The 19,998-nt window shown below is 34.7% G+C and overlaps 1 protein-coding gene across 12 annotated transcripts in view; it reads left to right on the top strand.

Annotated features, from left to right (window-relative positions):
• Positions 1-19,998, top strand: part of THEMIS (thymocyte selection associated) — a 221,968-nt gene that overhangs the window by 69,196 nt on the left and 132,774 nt on the right. For 5 of the 12 annotated variants that reach the window (XM_047418766.1, NM_001164687.2, NM_001010923.3 and 2 more), the window contains one exon: positions 19,466-19,924. The exons of 1 other annotated variant lie outside the window; for it this stretch is intronic. In XM_047418766.1, coding sequence (XP_047274722.1) covers positions 19,466-19,924 — 459 coding nt within the window. Of the gene's footprint in view, positions 1-7,312; positions 7,493-19,465; positions 19,925-19,998 lie in introns of all 12 variants that reach the window. 6 more of the 12 variants (XM_047418764.1, NM_001394520.1, XM_047418767.1 and 3 more) reach the window with 2 other exon arrangements.

Raw genomic sequence — 19,998 nt, 5'->3', positions numbered from 1 at the left:
CAAGTCAATCCTAAGCCAAAAGAACAAAGCTGGAGGCATCACGCTACCTGACTTCAAACTATACTACAAGGCTACAGTAACCAAAACAGCATGGGACTGGTACCAAAACAGTGATATAGACCAATGGAACGGAACAGAGCCTTCAGAAATAATGCCGCATATCTACAACTATCTGATCTTTGACAAACCTGACAAAAACAAGAAATGGGGAAAGGATTCCCTATTTAATAAATGGTGCTGGGAAAACTGGCTAGCCATATGTAGAAAGCTGAAACTGGATCCCTTCCTTACACCTTATACAAAAATTAATTCAAGATGGAGTAAAGACTTAAATGTTAGACCTAAAACCATAAAAACCCTAGAAGAAAACCTAGGCAATATCATTCAGGACATAGGCATGGGCAAGGACTTCATGTCTAAAACAACAAAAGCAATGGCAACAAAAGCCAAAATTGACAAATGGGATCTAATTAAACTAAAGAGCTTCTGCACAGCAAAAGAAACTACCATCAGAGTGAACAGGGAACCGACAAAATGGGAGGAAATTTTTGCAATCTACTCATCTGACAAAGGGCTAATATGCAGAATCTACGATGAATTCAAACAAATTTACAAGAAAAAAACAAACAATCCCATCAAAAAGTGGGCAAGGGATATGAACAGACACTTCTCAAAAGAAGACATTTATGCAGTCAACAGACATGTGAAAAAATGTTCATCATCACTGGCCATCAGAGGAATGCAAATCAAAACCACAATGAGATACCATCTCACACCAGTTAGAATGGCGATCATTAAAAAGTCAGGAAACAACAGGGGCTGGAGAGGATGTGGAGAAATAGGAACACTTTTACACTGTTGGTGGGACTGTAAACTAGTTCAACCATTGTGGAAGACAGTGTGGCGATTCTTCAGGGATCTAGAACTAGAAATACCATTTGACCCAGCCATCTCATTACTGGGTATATACCCAAAGGATTATAAATCATGCTGCTATAAAGACATATGCACACGTATGTTTATTGCAGCACTATTCACAAGAGCAAAGAGTTGGAACCAACCCAAATGTCCAACAATGGTAGACTGGATTAAGAAAATGTGGCACATATACACCATGGAATACTATGCAGCTATAAAAAATGATGAGTTCATGTCCTTTGTAGGGACATGGATGAAGCTGGAAACCATCATTCTCAGCAAACTATCACAAGGACAAAAAAACCAAACACCGCATGTTCTCATTCATAGGTGGGAATTGAACAATGAGAACACATGGACACAGGAAGGGGAACATCACACACACACCGGGGCCTGTTGTGGGGTGGGGGGGAGGGGGGAGGGATAGCATTAGGAGATATACCTAATGTTAAATGACGAGTTAATGGGTGCAGCACACCAACATGGCACACGTGTACATATGTAACCAACCTGCACATTGTGCACATGTACCCTAAAACTTAAAGTATAATAAAATAATAATGATAATAATAATAATAATAATAATAATAATTTGAAATTGAGTAACGTGATCCCTCCAGATCTGTTCTTTTTGGTTAGTATTGCTTTGGCTCTGTGGGCTCTTTTTGGTTCCATAAAAATTTTAGGATTGCTTTTTCTAATTCTGTAAAGAATGATGCTGGTATTTTGATGGGAATTGCATTGAATCCGTAGATTCCTTTGGGCAGTGTGGTCATTTTCACAATATTGACTCTTCCCATCTGTGAGCATGGGATGTGTTTCCATTTGTTTGTGTTACTGATGATTTCTTTCAGCAGTGTGTTTTAGTTTTTCTTATAAAGTTCTTTCACCTCCTTGGTTAAAATATAAGGTTGGTTTTTGTTTTTGTTTAGGTTTCTTTTGCAGCTATTGTGAAGGGATTGCGTTCTTGATTTGATTCTCAGTTTGGTCATTGTTGATTTAAAGCAGTGCTACTGATTTGTGTACATTGATTTTGTAACCTGAGACTTTGCTAAATTTGTTTATCAGATCTGGGAGCTTTTTGGATGAGTCTTTAGGTTTTTCTAGATGTACGATGATATCATTGGCAAATATCAACAGTTTGACTTCCTCTTTTCCAATTTGGATGCCCTTTATTTCTTTCTCTGGTCTAATTGCTGTGGCTAGGACTTCCAGTACTATGTTAAAGAGAAGTGGTGAAAGTTGGCATCCTTGTCTTATTCCAGTTCTCAGTGGGAATGCTTTCAACTTTTCCCCATTCAGTATGATGTTGGCTGTGGGTTTGTCATATGTGGCTTTTATTACTTTGAGCTAAGTCCCTTCTATACCTATTTTTTTGAGCGTTTCTATCATAAAGAGATGCTGAATTTTATCAAATGCTTTTTCCGCATCTATTGAGACAATTATGTGATTTCTGTTTTTAATTCTGTTTATGTGATGTATCACATTTATTTACTTGGGTTAAACTATCTCTGCATCCCTGGGATGAAACTCATGTGATAATGATGTATTATCTTTTTGATTTGCTATTAGATTTAGTTAGCTAATATTTAGTTGAGGATTTTTGCAACTATATTCAGGGATTTTTGTCTGTAGCTTTCTTTTTTTTTGTTAAGGCCTTTCCTGGTTTGGGTGTTAGGATGATACTGGCTACATAGAATGTTTAGGGAGGATTCTATGTTTCTCTATTTTTTTGGAATAGTTTCAGTAGGATTGGTTGTAATTCTTCTTGGAATGTCTAGTAGAATTCAGCTGTGAATCTATCTGGCCCTGGGCTTTTTTTGGTTGGCAATTTTTAAATTACTGGTTCAATCTCACTGCTTGTTATTGGTCTGCTCATGGTTTCCATTTCTTTGTGATTTAATCTAGGAGGATTGTATGCTTCCAGGTATTTATCCAATTCCTCTAGATTTTCTAGTTTGTTCACATAAAGGTGTTCATAGCAGTTTTGAATGATATTTTGTATTTATGTGGTATTGGTTGTAATATCTCCAATTTCATTTCTAATTGAGCTTATTTAAATCTTCTCTCTTTTTTTCTTGGTGAATCTCACTCTGCAGGAACAGCTTCTATTGATTGCTTGCCCTCTCCCACTGTGTACAGGTCATACTTTCTTGTTCCTTTGCCTTCTCATAATTTTTGTTTGAAACTGGATGTTTTAAATGCTATAATGTGGCAATTGTATAATCAAATTGTTTCCTTTTTCCAGGGCTTGCTGTTATTGGTAGTTGTTTGTTTAGTGAATTTTCTGAACTAAATCTGTAAAGTCTGCATTCTCCATCATGTGTGGCCACAGAAGTCCCTGCTTAGTTAGCTTAGTGGACAACTGATGTCTGAACAGAGATTTACTTACACAGTTGAAACCATGTTTTCAGTATGTGTTGAAGGGCTCTGTTGTTCATTTGGGAACATTCTGTCAACACTCAGTCAGGTAATTGAAAATTCTAGCTTAGCCTTGAATTTGGGCTCAGGTAGAGCCTCAGTTAGCCAGAATTGAGAGGTGAGGGCTTTTGTGGGTCTTTCTTGCGTATGCAAACAGTCCTGGGCATGTGTTTAAAATTACTCATGTGACTTTCTGGATTCTTAGGAATATGTTGGAACTTTTCAATTTTTTTTATGGAAATCTCATTTCCCAGCTATTCTTTTTAAGTTTTTGGGTTAGCCTATTATTTTTTTTCCCATCACTGCAGGTAGCCACAAAAGTTAAACAATTTTCTTTTATTATTTTTGGCAAGTGCTCTGAGAAAAGCCTTTCCCCAATAATGAGTTCAAAATGAGATCAAAGAGACAACCATGCAAGTGTGATCTTCCAGAGAGCCACCAGATATGTCAAATAATAACAATTCTCTGGGATTGAGCTTTGAAGATACTTCAACCTCTTACTGCTTTCTCCTATGACTGTCAAGTTGATTATTTTTTCGTGATTACAGGTTGTTAGTTTTCAAGGTTACTGTGGACCTGAGTGTCGGGGAGGAGAGAATGGGAATACAAGTTAAAGTGCCACAAAGTTTGCTGTTCTTACCAAGATTCAGCCATTTTTCTTCAATAAATGCTTCCCAGGTTGCTCCAATTATTTGGTTAATTTTTCGACTTTTGAAAAAAATTGACCTGCTCTTCTGTATTAAAGTATGTAAACTCATATATCCTCAAATTTATCCAATAATTTAAAAGTATTGAAGATGACAATACCTTGGCAAGAGTGCCCAGAATTACTTCTTTGTAAATAAAGAAAATCTACTGAGGAAAGATACCCAGCCTTTGACCAATAAACATAGCTTTGTAGATGCAGCTTCAGCAAATGCAAGCTCAAGAAAAAGTCAAGAGGGTAAAGATTTGCAGAGTTTGACAAGCACACTTTCAGGGGATATACTGGAGCCTTTTTTTTTTTTACTAAAATTTGAATGGGGATCTGAACTCCAAATATATGCACCACTGGTTTCATCCTATATTAATATTTTATTTCCATATGTCTCTTTTGACACCTCAAAAATGTTCAATTATTTTAAAAGAAATAATAAGCAATCATTTCAGTAATGAATGAAACAAAACATACTGCTTTTAGAAAACACTCTTTCTAGCTGAAGTATTTTATGAGCTAGAAAACATGCCAATCTTGCCAAAAGCAACAAAAATATATCCTATTCGGTAGTTGATTACATTATCTCCATAGATTGGTAAATCATGTCATGTGTGGTTTATAGTGAAGTTCCAAATTTCTGGATTACCTCCTGGAAAGATTTGTCCCTCTTTCAGAGTGTTATGGAGCATGAATAATAAACATATTCTCTTAGTCATGAGAAATAGCCTGAGAGTGTTTCAATACCATTTTTATGAAGAACATAGATTTTTTTTTTTCCCAAACAGCAAGTTCACATTTTCTCCAAATGATATGGTGAAGGAAGACTGTAGTTGCATCTATAAAACCACCCTTAAAATTATAAGGCCAGATAAAGACATTTTTCTGTTTTAATATTTAGACTATACTCTATGAATTTTGTTGCTGTATAGGAATTTTGTTTCGGGAGGTAGCAGACATGAAGGAAATGTTTGAGATGGAACATCCTCTACTACCCTTTACCCTATCCTGTCCATAACACACACTCAAATGAAGATACCAAAGATGTACCAGACATTGTTCTTAATATTTTTACATATAAAACTTTTCTAAACACTTTTATGTATATATAAATTACTAATTGAATTCAGACTTTACAGATGAGAAAACAGAATCACCAAGTAATTTGCCCCAAATCACATAGCAAGTGGTTACGCTGAGTCTGCCCTAGCACTGTCCAATAAAAATATAATATGAACCTCATATGTGATTTCAAATGTTCAATATCCACATTTACTACTTACATATATCTGCATAGTAAGTTGTGTCTAAATTTGGCAACTTAAAACAACATTTCTCACATAATTTATGAGGTTGAGGAATCGGGAGTGCTTTAGATGCTATAGTTCTGCCTCAGGGTCTTTCATGGAGTTGCAGTGAAGCCGTAGGCAGGGAATGGAGTCTCTGAAGATTTGACTGTGATTTGGAGATCTATTATCAAGTTCATTCACATGGCTGTTCTGGGAGGCTTCAATTCTTTACCACATGGTCCTCTCCATAGGGTTCTCACTGACTTAGTGGTCTGAGAGTGGAAACAAGCCCAAGACTGAAACCAGTCTTCTATGGCCTAATCTCAGAAGTGACATACCATCACTTCTACCATACCCTTTTGATCACACAGATCAATGCTAGTGCAATCTGGGAGGGCACTGAACAAGGGTGTGACTACCAGGAGGGAGAAATAACTGGGCACCATCTTGGAGGCTACCTAGCACAGATATCTTTCTTTAAAAATTAAAGAAAGGTGACATTAATTTTAATATGTTTTATTTAAAATGTGTATCTAGGATATTATACTTTCAACAACTTATTGATATAAAATTATCGAAATATTTTACATCTTTTCATGCTAACCCTTTAAAATCTGATATATATTTTCCACTTATAGTACATCTCAATTTAGACTGTCCAAATTCAAGTAGCCACATTTCAAGTGCTCAGCACAATGGCTACGTTAATGGTACAGTATTGGAAATAACAGATATGAACAGTATGTATAGGTCCAGATTTGTGTTCTGAAGCACTTCTTGCTTAATCATAGAAAAAAAAAAAGAGGTGATATTTTTGTCAATCAACGTTAATGCCATAATAAGGAATTTTTCTACTATATGCAGTAGCATTGTAATGTTAAAAAGATTTGAACTAATATCACTCCTAGAACAAGAGGAAACAGAAATTTTTAGATGAATGTTAGAAAATTTACTAAATTCACTAAATAGAAAATTTCTTTCATATGTTTCATAGATTTAAACCATGTATTAAAAACAAGCTTTGGGACGTGCTTCCTACTTAAATTAATTTCTACCAGATAAAAGGATTTCATCTATCAAGTTGTCAGGAAACTCTTAAGTAGCCAGGAAGCTACTAGGGTGATACCACCCTTCCATGAATTACATCACTAAGGAGACAGTGAGCCCGAGTTGCACAGCAGGCAGGATAAACTTCATGTCTCAGAGGTTGTCTTTGACCCCCAAGACCCCCAAAGTGACACAGGGGGTTGCTGAACACATAATTGGGGAACCCTGAGCTTACAAACCCCAAATAAGGGGTTGCTGGCGAACTGCCAACTTTTGCCCTCCAAGAAAAATTATATTTATTACCTTGGAATGTAAAATAATTCCTTTGAGGTGAGGAGAAAGACTTTTCTATCCTAGAATGTCTCTGGGGAGGGAGACATTCTCTTATCATTTTTATACTAGTTGAAAAGAAACCTGCTACCTCTAGCTCCCAAGGCGTATAGAAATGCTACGGAGAATTCTCTTCCAACATGACTATATCCCTTAAGCCGTAAGACTTAAAAAAATCATTTTTATTGGACATGTGAAAAATTCAGAAAAGTATTAAAATAACTGATGACAGAAATTGAATTAATAGAATTGTTTCTGTAAGAAATTAATTAAGGCTAAATGGCTAAAATTTATAAAATCTGCTCCTTTATGCCTGGGTACCAAATATGTGATACATTAACATTGTTAATTCTAACACATTAACAATGACCATTGTTTCATTTGGAGAATTATATACTCCATTAACAGAAAATATGTATTACATTCAATCGTCATTCATTGTATTTTCATCTACTATTGAAATGATCAATCTTTCATCTTTATTTTATTATTGTAGCTGATTTTTTTATTTGATTAAAATATAAGTTTCTAAAGGACCTGATAGGAAAATTATTATGCAAAAAATATATACATTTGCTAGCTTTAAATAACCTTTCCATCTTCTGTTTTTTAGGGACTTTTGTTAAAAGAAGCAAGGAATGTAAGTCAGAAGTTGCTACTGTTTTTCCATCTGGATGTTATGATAAAACATGACTCAGAGCAGCCCTAAATAGAGCTCCTGCCTTTTAGATAATTCGCTATCCAAGGAATCAGGGGCTATTTTTCCAAATTTTCTGGGTCAACTTCTCTTAAGGTACTATTTCCCACTGTGCTCACTTAAGCAAAGTAAACTCAGCTGTGTCTACCTTACAACATCTTTTCTTTGACAAAAAGGGGTATTTTGTATAAACTATGCAAGAAAATGTGAATTAATCAGCATGCAAAAGAAATTCAGGCTTTTAAAATAATTTTAAGATCTATTTCTTGGTCTATTTTTTTTTCTCTTGCTTTTTAGTTCATGATCAGATTATTTCTCTGCATCCTTGGTCTTTGGATAACTACCATGTATATTAGCCAAAAGACAAACAGCTTTTGCAGTTCTAGGTTAAAATGATTCTGTTACTCATCTATGTGCATTGTAATATCAGATCAGAATTCTGTCAGAAAGATCATTTTAAAGGAGGCTGTTCCACAGCTGGTGCTGTTCTATAAGTTTTCTTGGTATTAATGTTTTATCTCCATCTTCTAAAATCTATCTCATCACTCATTGTCCTTACCATCCGTCTTTCTTACCGGCACAATTCTAAAAGCTTTTTATGATGCTACCTTAACAGTACCAGCAGGGAAGGATTCTCATGAGAGGAACTAGATTGCCCTTAAACAATTGGATCTTCTGTTTCTTGCATCTTAACTGAACGTTGGTAGAGAACATTTCTATAATTATACACAGTTACATTTTGGGGATTTAGAGGTTTTGCCACTGGAATGCAAGCAGAGTTTCCCTATACTTCCTGACCCCCAACATGCCATATATGGCAGCCTCCCCCACCATCAATGTACAACACTAGAGTGGTACATTTGTTGCAAGTAGTGAACCTTCATTGACACATCATCTTCACTCAAAGTTCACAGTTTATATTTGGGTTCATTTTTGGTGTTGTACATTCTATGGGTTTTGATAAATGTAGAATGACACATATCCACTTTGATAGTGTCATACAAAATAGTTTCACCACCCTAAAAATCCTTTGTGCTCCGCCTACTCATTCCCCTCTCTCCTCTAATCCGTGGTAACCACTGATCCTTTTCCTGTCTCCATATTTTGCCTTTTTCAGAGCGTCATATAGTTGGAATCATATAGTATGTAGCCTTTAAAGATTGACTTCTTTCACCTACTAATACATATTTAAGGTTCTTACATGGCTTTTCATGATGTAATAAGTCATTTATTTTTAGTGCTGAGTAATATTTCATTGTCTGGATGTACCACAGTTTATCCATTCACCTACTGAAGGGCATAGTTATTACTTCCAAGCCTTGGCAATTACGAATAAGGCTGCTATAAACATTCATGTGCAGGATTTTGTGTGAAGATAAAGAACCCGAGTTTTTAAAGCTATAAGATGTATTTATTTTTCTGTTTTACAAGTAACACATGCATGTTGTAGAAAATTAGAAAATGGGAGAAAATTCAGGAAAGTAAATAAAACTCACTATAATATCATCACCAGACTCATCTAGCATTAATATTAGATACATTTGTTTCTGTTGTTTTCCAGTACATTGTACACATGCATACATATAGACACATGTTTTAGCATAATGGGAAAAAATCTTATTCTGAGGACTTGCCTGTGTCATTAAATATTCTTCAAGGCATAATTTTTATTTTCTAGGTAATAGTCCCTCACATGCATATTCCATAATGTATTCAATCCATCCTGAACATGGCCATTTATACAATTTGTACTGTGATGAACAGCCTTTTAAACTAACATTTTGTCTGCATTTCTGATTATTATAATAATCTTATATACATAGAAGTAAAAATGTTTTTAAAGATCTGATACATATTGTCAATCACATTTCATAAAGGCTCTGCTAATTTGCATTCCAACTAGGAACTTTTGAGGGGGCCAATCTAACTGCTTTTTTGAGGGTGTGACTTAACTGTTTGTCTTTCCCATCTCATTTTTTTGAGTTAATAGCATTATAACAATTTCCACATAACAACATTCACCTGATTAAAATATACAATTTAATGGCTTTTAGTGTCCCTGTCTCCATTTTTTTAGAAACATGAAATTTTAAATCTTCAACATCCTTGAAAATGGCAGGGCCTGACAGACCTGGCAGAGGGTCACACTGTCAACGATGCCCTGTAGTCAGGTAGGGGAACCAAGATGTGCAGTGCTTAGGTGAGTCATGCAAGGGAAGAGTTGTTCTTATAAGGGTGTTTGTTTTGACCTATTTAACTTCTTTCTAGAATTGCGAGTAAGTAAATATGGCCAGAAATTAATGAATTAAAAGACTTTTAGAAATGAGTTGTTAATTGGCTGGGCATAGTGGCTCATGCCTGTAATCCCAGCTCTTTGAAAGGCTTAGGTGGGAGGATGGCATGAACCCAGGAGTTCGAGGCCGCAGTGATCTGTGACTCCACCACTACACTCCAGCCTGGGTGAAAGCAAGACTCCATCTCAAACAAATTGAAAATTAAAAAAAGAGGTGGTAATCATTATTTGCAAATAGTAACATTACCCTGTAAAACAGAGTATCAAATGAGACAAAATATTGAAACTTGGTAAGATGACAAGATGAACAAATATGTAAAACAACTGTATGTACATAAAGGAATATATTCTTACATATAAGAATACATATAGTTATAATTTTCCATTTATAAACACTTAGAATATATAGGGGTAACATATTTTATAACTAACTCATTTATTTACTTAAAAAGTATTATACAAGTTTACTTATTTATTAAAAAATAGACGTGCTTGAATCAGAAAACTGAATATTATAAATATATCAATTACATATGAATTAATTTATGTTCAACATAATGCAGAATAAAATTTCCATATTATAATCATAATTATTACTATGTTGCCTCTTGAGAGAGTAATTGTAAAAATCACTTGGGAGAATAAACAAGTGAACATATTCAAGCAAATATTTTAAAAATAGGATAATGAGGGAGTACTTGTCCTGCCAACATTAATGTCTGATACAAAGTTATAATAAATGGTACTATATGTTGCTTACAGAAAATCAAAAACTGCATCAATAAATTACTTTTACAATAGTGGTACTAGTTGTTATAGAAGCGTCACAGCAATGTTTTTAATTTGACTCTAGTGCCATGCACTTAAGCATTTGTTTATAGCTCAGAAACAGACTTTAATGCAGAGTATTATTTGCTGTTTGATAAAGTTTTTACTGCACATCTGGGTTTAAAGGAAGAATTATTTAGTAAATTGTTCTAGTATAGTTAATAATGTAGCAAACAGTAGATCAAATTGGATCATCAACATTATACCATAGCAAAAGAAATTTGAAATAGATGAAAACATCACATTTTAAGGAAAACTATCTTATGTCTATATTTGAAACAACTTTCAAGTTGCAAATATAATAGAAAACCATAAGGAAACAATATATTTGAATACATAAAATGAAACTTTCTGTCATAAAGTAAAAAAATGAGGAAGAAATGTTTAATAGCAAAGGAAGATAACTCAATTTTTAAAAGACTAAATGTCACTGAAATGGAAAACAGAAAAATCAATAAATATTCTAGTAGAACACTAATAGGAAAATGGACAAAGCTTAGAAGAAATTCAAATGGTTTATAATTGTGTAGAAATTAGTTTGTACTAACACAATAACAACTTTTCCACCTATATAGGTATCTAAGCTTTTGCATTTATGAAGTTGGGAAAAATATTGTCAAAGGGTCACTCTTAAACCTAACTGAGGAGTGTATCCTTCCTGAAAATAAATTTTGTAATAGATTGAGTAGCTTCTTTGAAAATACATGTAATATATTTTGAATTCCATCTACATCTTATGCATGTACAGAGATAATTATTGATGACACAGGTACATTTAGTCTTGGTTCTGCCATCCTGGAACCAGTACTGTGCTGAGAAAAGAGCCTTTATAATGTTTAAAGCTTTAACTCAGTGCTTCCACTTGTCGAATCAACTCCAAAGAAATAATCATTTTAGAATTATTTGTAATAGGAAAATAATAGAATCAACTTAAATGCCCAACAGTGAGGAATCGGGTAAATCATGATACATTCCTTACAACATATTATTCATCTATTAACAACTATATTTGTGAAAAATATTGTAAAGCATGAGGTTTATTCGGTTCAGTATTAAATGAGACAAGTAGGAGTCAAATGAAGTGTCTATAGTAGAGTTTCGACATTGTTTAAAACATTTTTATCTCTCTGTATATATATCAAGTTAAAAAATGTCAGAATTTTAAAAGCAGCTGTTTCAGTCCAGTGAGAATGAGTGATTTTAATTTTATTTTAAATTTGTTAAAATTTTTTTGAGAATATATATAGATATATATATATGCATACATATATACACATACTACACACACATGCACACAGAAACACAAACACACAAATAGAAATTTAGGCTGGGTTCCTTGGTGTGTTTTAGTGCTTTGATTTAACAATTTCCTCATATATAAAGTAGAGAAAACATTAATAGCATTTATCTTACAAAATTCTTCAGAGGATCAAATAAATTAAATGAGGAGATTAGCTTACGACAGACCATGGCACATAACATGTACTCAACAACAGTGTTAATATTGTTTTTCTCATTATTATTATCTTTTAAAAATTTTGGGGGGGCTCCTCTGTTTCATGAGCCCCGGCATGGGTAGGCCTTGAATTTTCTCATTGCAGCTCTATTCTTCCTATTATGAGGTAACTTCCTTCTGGCTTTTTGCAGTAGTTGGTCTATTATTCTTAGTTTTTGATGATATGGTAAGTTTTCATCGTTTTCTATCATTTTCTGTGTCTTTTTGTGTATACTTTATATTGGAAGGTCAGGGACGGCCATATCCAGGGCTGCCAGACAGCCAGCATTTAAACTCCTCTTAATCAAACACAAACCTTGGAAAACCCCAATTTGTTTATCTTCAGTGTCTAAAGTGATCAACAATAGCAGCTCCAAATGCTGTGCTCTTTCCTGGAAGTGACTGTCTGGGTCAATCTCTGAATAGTTTTGAGGCAGTTCCATAGGAGTTACTTGCACGAGACCCCCCAGTGCTCTGAAGAAATTCATCTCAGAGCTGTTCAGGTGTTCGTGCTGACCAGGTACCAGGTCAAAGCTTCCAGAGAGGACCGTCAGGGGCCAGTAAGCTCCTGTCCAAGTCAAATCCACTGGGAGAGTTGTGGGTTAGCCAGTTCATGAGCCCAGTGCTGATTTTAGGCAGGATTTTCAAATTCATGCTGTTGAAGTTAGTTTTATTGCCTAGTAATATGGAACCAAAAGAATGTGTTTAGAGAGAAAATGCTCCTTTTTATATACTGGTGAATTTAGAAAAACAAAAATTCAGTTTTCTTTATTGTGCAAATCAAAATCTATTTAAATCCTAAGCCCTGACATTCATTTAATACTTATGGTTACATTGGGAAATTATAGCTCTTTCTAATTTGAATTTAATGTAAACTGATTTTTAATTGTTTTGTATAACCATGGGTAACAGATTTTTTTGAACACTGCATGATAAAAATCAGCAAATATGTCAGACAAAGCACAATGTTACAAGGAAACACCACAGCATATGTTGACAGTTATAGAAGAATTGCTGCTGTTTTCACCCTTCACACCAGAATAATTTCTTCAATATTTACCTCCCATGTGTAGAGAGAGAAACATATGGGGCTTTACATAATCATAAGCATAAACAGGTGGCTACTTAGGTACATTTAATTTGCAGGCAACATCAATACTGAACAACACAATCAGCTCCACATGGCTCCCAAACTCTTTCTACTAACATTCCATTAACAAAATTAAGATCATTAAAATAGAGGGAGGGTATAGTCCTCCCTCAACTGGCTTCAGCTACCTTTCAGAGTCATGAATAAAACACTTTTTCAAAAATGCCTTGGCATTTTGCTGTTTTCTTTGTTCAAGGGAACTTCAGTAACTGTGTATAATGTATACCTTGTGAATAACAACGAGCAGCATAATATTTGCATTTAAAATGTGCTTACATCTTTTATTCTCCCTCTAATCTGCTCATTATGGGCATAAAATTATGATGGTTAAATTCTAAGTAATTTATCAAAGCATGGGGTCGGACAAGCTCCTCAAAGCAACCTGGAAATATTTCTCCAAAGGCAGTCCACCTAAAGAGGTCACCTGAGGCTCATTTCCATATTCAAACATGCTGGTGAAATCTGTGGAAATTATCATTCCTGGAAATTTTTGCTCAATCTGTGCCAGATGCTGAGCTGTAGATTCCATATATTTTGTTATCTCGATTTTGATCCAGGCTAGAATATCTAATTTGTCCTCGTTGGCATTGAAATTACATAGGTACCAATTTTTCTGACCTTATAACCATCCTACAATGGCTTAGAATCCCAGGGTAAAGGCAAATGAGGAGACTTAATAACCACTATGTTTTTAATCATTTGGTGCTTACTAGCTGTTAAGTACTACCTAATCATGTTACCTGTATTAGCTTATTTAATCACCACAATGACTTTATGTGGTAGATGATATAATTTTTCTCATTTTATGAAAAATGAAATTGTAGCCCTGAGACTTTAAATTCTGAAGTATACATGTTAAGGAAGGGGCTGAGGCCAGAATTAAAACCCAGGCTAATAGGAATTGTCAAGCCATAATCTTAACCACCCCACTCTAGTTGTGTTCCCTTTATCCTGAAAGTTCTACTGCCCAAAATCACCTAGGGCCTGGGAATCCTGAAAATTCTACCTAAAATCACCTAGGGCTAGGAACAGCAAATATGTGGTATTGTGAAGATCCTCTTAACAATGCTTTGTGAGAGGTTTGGGGGTGCCTAAGGTCTGTGGAGGTTCTTTCTAGCCCTGATACCTCTATGTGTCTTCTCAAAACACAAGGAACAGTGCTCTGCAGAACTAATGAGCATCTAGGGAGCTGTGTTGCCATCAAGGTTATGAAAATAACAATTTCTCACATTCTCTCTCCTCATCGTAGGTCTATTACTCACTCTCGCTGCCTGGGAGAGAGAAAGTTTTAACATGAACAAGTGTATGTATGACGTGCGGCACATTTATTAATAAGCTGTGACTACAATAAAGCTTTAGGCCTAGATATCAGATTATATCATTTGATCTTAAGAGCTAACATTATTAATATGTAATTTGTTAAGCATCCCAAATGTGTTAGGTTTTGCAGTCACTCCTTTCAAGGAGTTTAAATGTTACTGGGAAAGTTTATTTGTTTTCCCCATGCAATGGTTGAACCAAAGAGGTAAAAATGAATTGAAAGATTTTATGATATATTCTTTTACCTCTGCAGGTAAAAGCAATATGAAAAACTATTAATAGCTACTGCAGACAGTTTCAATTCAATTATTATTATTATTACTATTATTGTTTTGTGATGGAGTCTCACTCTGTTGCCCAGGCTGGAGTGCAGTGACATGTTCTTTGCTCACTACAACCTTCATCTCCTAGGTTCAAGCGATTCTCCTACCTCAGCCTTCTTAGCAGCTGGGACTACAGGCACGCACCACCACGCCCAGCTTTTTTTTTTTTTTTTTTTTGTATTTTTAGTGGAGACGGGGTTTCATCATGTTGGCCAGGCTGGCCTTGAACTCCTGACCTCAAATGATTTGTCCCCGCTTGGCCTCCCAAAGTACTGGGATTACAGGCGTGACTCACCACGCCTGGCCCCAAATCAATTATTAATGTAAAGACATTTGAACACAGGCATTCTATAGTCTCACTTAGTTTCCCTCAACATTTTAAGAAACTTCCTCACCATCTTAGACATATGTTCTGCCCTCCCAAATACTCAGTTAAATTACTGTGTATCATTTCTTTATCACACACTTTAACTTCCCCCACATTGCTTATTTCTGCTCTTGAAGACTCTTCTTTGAAGATTGTTGGAGTCACTCATTAGTTGATGATGTTCAGTGATCTATAATTGACACCAAAATCTGGAGACTCTTCTCAGTTCAGACTATTATTATTTTATATTCCAATACTTTGAGGATTTTGAACTTTTTGCTTTGATAGATTTATAGAATATACCAACTTAAACATCCTTGTTATTATATATTTGTCATATATATTTCTCATTTCACATGTTTCTTGTGGCTTTTCTATCACTGTGTTACATTCCCAAGACAAATTTTAGGTTGGTATATTCTACAAATGTATATTTTTTAAGACTACCCCAAATCCAGTGTTTCCATTAGAAGTTCTAGCTCAAGTATCTCTATTCATCTTTAGATTGAAATGGTGTGCATGAAATAACCTATCAAAGCCTTCAAAGTAGGACCAGAGATTATTATTGTTCTTCTCACACCATGGCATCTGGGGAAGGCTGATCCATGTAAAGAGAGGGCTGGCTGGTGAGACCCATAAACATGTTATTCTCATGAGCAATGTCCTTGTAAGTCATACATGCAACAGGGAGGCAAGACTGGCTTGGTGGCAGGATGCAAACCTTGGATGTCAAAGCTCAGATTGAGATTCCAGAGCTATGACTACCAGTTGTAAAAATTGTAACTATTTTCATATCCCCCTATAGTAATAATATTTCTTTCATTGTCCTCAAAAGATTATTGTAAGGATAAAGGATGCATATGAAAAAGTTTTCAAACTTGTAAATTTCTAAACAAATTTCAGTTGTTGCAATTACTGTTAATAACAACTGCAAATCATTAAGAATGGGTTAAAAATATAAACTCACTCAAAACCTAAGATTCAAGGAAAAGACTTGAAAGACTACATTCATTTATTAATTAATTTTTAGCAGGTCAATCTATTACATTTCCCATGATTTATGTTAGTTAAGTGACGTGTTTTTTTTAATGAACAATGTCTCCTAATTCAAAAATAACAATAAAATTTATTTTGAGAACTAACAGGCCAGGTGTGATGGCTCACACCTGTAATCCCAGCACTTTGGGAGGCTGAGGCGGGCAGATCACCTGAGGTCAGGAGTTCAAGACCAGCTTGGCCAACATGGCGAAACCCTGTCTCTATTAAAAATACAAAAATTAACTGAGTATGGTGGTGCACACCTGTAATCCCAGCTACTCAGGAGGCTGAGGCAGGAGAATCACTTGAACCTGGGAGTCGGAGTTTGCAGTGAGCCGAAATTGTACCACTGCACTCCAGCCTGGGAGACAGAGCAAGACTCCATCTCAAAAAAAAAAAAAAAAAAAAAAAAGATCTGACAATCCTAGGTGGAAATAGACATCTATTTTCATGTGTTAACTTGTTTTATAAAGGTTGCATATTGGCTTATTTTAATAACTTGATTACTCAAGTCTTGGAATGTGTCTTGTCTTTCTTTGGAAGAATAACAAAGCATATTTTTCCCAGTATAAAACGATTGTACACTTTGAGAAAAAGATGAAAAAAAAGTTGGTCACATTTAGATCTAATCAGTCCCAGTGGTGCTTTAGTTTATATTTAACTTTCTTCATTGTGAAACTGAAATTCCAATATGGCATCATATTAAAACAACAACTACAACATGTCCTAGTTTTTATGGCTTTCAATGGCTGTTTTTAAAAAGGAATGATTTGGATTGGCTGCAATAGTATATGAAGAGATAAGTTAATCAAATATTTTTCCTATATTGTGCCACTTTAGTATGCTAAACTGTGTACTTCATCATCTTTTAAGGAAAAGCACAGATTCACAGACACATTTTTCTTGCAATAGAGACATCCAGCAAGACAGCTCTGAATAGTGTGATTAACTGAAATAATGATGACCTTTAGGGTTTTAGCCTTTTCCTACTTCATAATATTTTAGGTCTGTTATTACCTTAGGTGAGCTCTATTCCCCAAGAAAGATGACACCAAATTAATTCTTCTGTGACTTATGTCATCGATATAGCTAGGATAAAAATAAAACTATGTGTCTCTACCTTTTATGAGATTTTAGGTACGCATTTTTTAAAAACTTATTTCACAATAACTGCTGAATTTTCTATACCCTCATAATGATTGTGGACTCTTAGAAATAAATCTTCACACACAGACAAATGAGATTAAACACACACAGGCACGCGCACACACACACAAATTCATTTACTGTGGTGAATTCAAGAACACTATTTTATTGAACTCTCCCTGATACAGGATATAATAAAATGAGAAATCCCTTCAAAGTAAATGTGTCTTTCCCTTATTTTAGTCAAGCACAGCATACAGTGAGTGAACACTATTCTATTTCTAAAAGTTTTTAGGATAGGTTGCATTTGCTACCTTGCTCATTCCTGCCAAGATTGCATCAGTCACAGTTTTTCAGGAAGTTTATATCTAAAAATCACCAAAATTCCTTTTGTTTGTATGAGTAAAAATGACTTCAAAAATAACTGATTAAAATAATCTTTGAACAGTAACCAAAAATATACAAAAATGACACTATAATTGGCTAAAAATGATTTGATATATAGATGAATTTCACTGGAATACACTTGTTGACAAAATAATAAATGACTTTTTGAAGCTATATAATTTTACTAAGTTTTTAAAAATACACTATCTTCTTAGAGCATGCTAGTATATAATATTATTAATTACTTTTGGGTTAAGAAAGCAATTAACTAATTTCTTCTTTGTCCTCATTTTCTCTGGAATTTATTAAAATCTATTCAGTAAATGCATTTCTGAAAGTGATACAAAGCAGTTGCTCCCATAAAATAAAAATAAAATAAATCAAACAGAACCACTTAGACATACAATGTACAAAAATCTGTATCTTAAGTAGTAAAATTTTATTGTAGTAGTTGGTTATCTTGATGGAGACAACATTTCAAATACTGAAATTAGTGAAATAGATATCAATGAAATAGTAAAAATAGTGCAGTTTTCTAATGGAAAAATTAGAGAAGTAATGAGAGAAAATGAGAAGAACAATTGACATATAGTCAAGAGCAGTCAGTCCAGAACAACTACAGAACCTGGTATTTTCAAGGAGGGTTATGTGATATATTATGTTGTGATTTATTAATGTGTGTTTTCCACAAGGGTTTTATAATCAAAGAAATTTGGTAAATTCTGCATCTCATATTCTTCTCTTGAGAGTCATGGTGTATTTAAAGTTTCTGAGAAGTCTTACATTATTTGGACCTATGCACATACTTTTTCACTGTGGTAAAATACACATAAAATTAACTTTACCATTTTAAAGTGTACAGTTCAGTGGCTTTAAGTACATTTGGAATATTGTGCAACCATCACTGCTATCTATCTAGTCCAAGCTATATAGCTTTTATTTTTTATTTTTTATTTTTTATTTTTTTTTGAGAGACAGAGTCTCACTCTGTTGCCCAGGCTGGAGTGCAGTGGAGTGATCGTGGCTCACTACAACCTCTACCTCCTGAGCTCAATCAATCCTGTCACCTCAGCCTCCCAAGTAGCTGGGACTGAAGGTGCACGCCAATATACCCAGCTAATTTTTGTATTCTTTGTGTAGATGGGGTTTTGCCACATTGCCAAAGTTGGTCTCAAACTCCTGGCCTCAAGTGACCCTCCCACCTCAGCCTCCCAAAGTTCTGGGATTGCAGGCCCAGCTATATAGCTTTTAATCATGAATGTGACTACAAATCAGTTCCCTTTGGGAATATCTTTTAATTTTAGTGTGTCTAGAGAATATATTCATAAAAAAGCTGACCAAATCCAATCTTCTCATTTTAAAAATAAAAAATTTAAAATGTGACTGAGAAGTAAGATGCCTTGCTTGGGATCACAAAGTAGTTGGAACAGAGCCAGTGTCATCCAGATTTCCCATTTCCAAGAACAGTTTCTTTTCTATTTCAAGGTATTTTCCCCTTGTCTCCATTTGTATTGTCTGGTCTTATGATCTAGTGATCTATAAGCAATACTTCATAATTTTACCTAGAAGAACTCTGGATTAAAATAAGCATCTCTAATCTTTAAAAAGATATCACTTTAAAAATGTATGCAGTACTTGTGTTGTAACTCTCTCCTTGTGATTTTCTTGTGAGAACTTTCATTGTAAGAACTCTCTTTTTAATTCACGTAATTCTGTTCTTAGGTCTTTTTAAGATTGTGGCTGATAAAACTCCATACCTTACTATGGAAGAAATCACAAGGACCATTCATATTGGACCAAGTAGACTAGGGCATCCTTGCTTCTATCATCAGAAGGATATAAAACTAGAGAACCTCATCATAAAGCAGGGTGAGCAAATCATGCTCAACTCAGTTGAAGAGATTGATGGAGAAATAATGGTGAGCTGTGCAGTAGCAAGGAATCATCAAACTCACTCATTTAATTTGCCTTTGTCACAAGAAGGAGAATTCTACGAGTGTGAAGATGAACGTATTTACACTCTAAAGGAGATTGTTGAATGGAAGATTCCTAAGAACAGAACAAGAACTGTAAACCTTACAGATTTTTCAAATAAGTGGGACTCAACGAATCCATTTCCTAAAGACTTTTATGGTACCCTGATTCTCAAGCCTGTTTATGAAATTCAAGGTGTGATGAAATGTGAGTATCCACTGAGAATGATGTTCTATGAGCATGAGCATTATGGGGTTTGGGAAAGAAAGATTTTAGAGCCT

The sequence above is a fragment of the Homo sapiens genome, chromosome 6 (genome assembly GCF_000001405.40).
Source record: "Homo sapiens chromosome 6, GRCh38.p14 Primary Assembly".
In the NCBI taxonomy this organism is placed as follows: domain Eukaryota; kingdom Metazoa; phylum Chordata; class Mammalia; order Primates; family Hominidae; genus Homo; species Homo sapiens.
The sequence above is the reverse complement of the archived record's forward strand: the minus strand, read 5'-3'. Positions and strand labels throughout refer to the sequence as shown.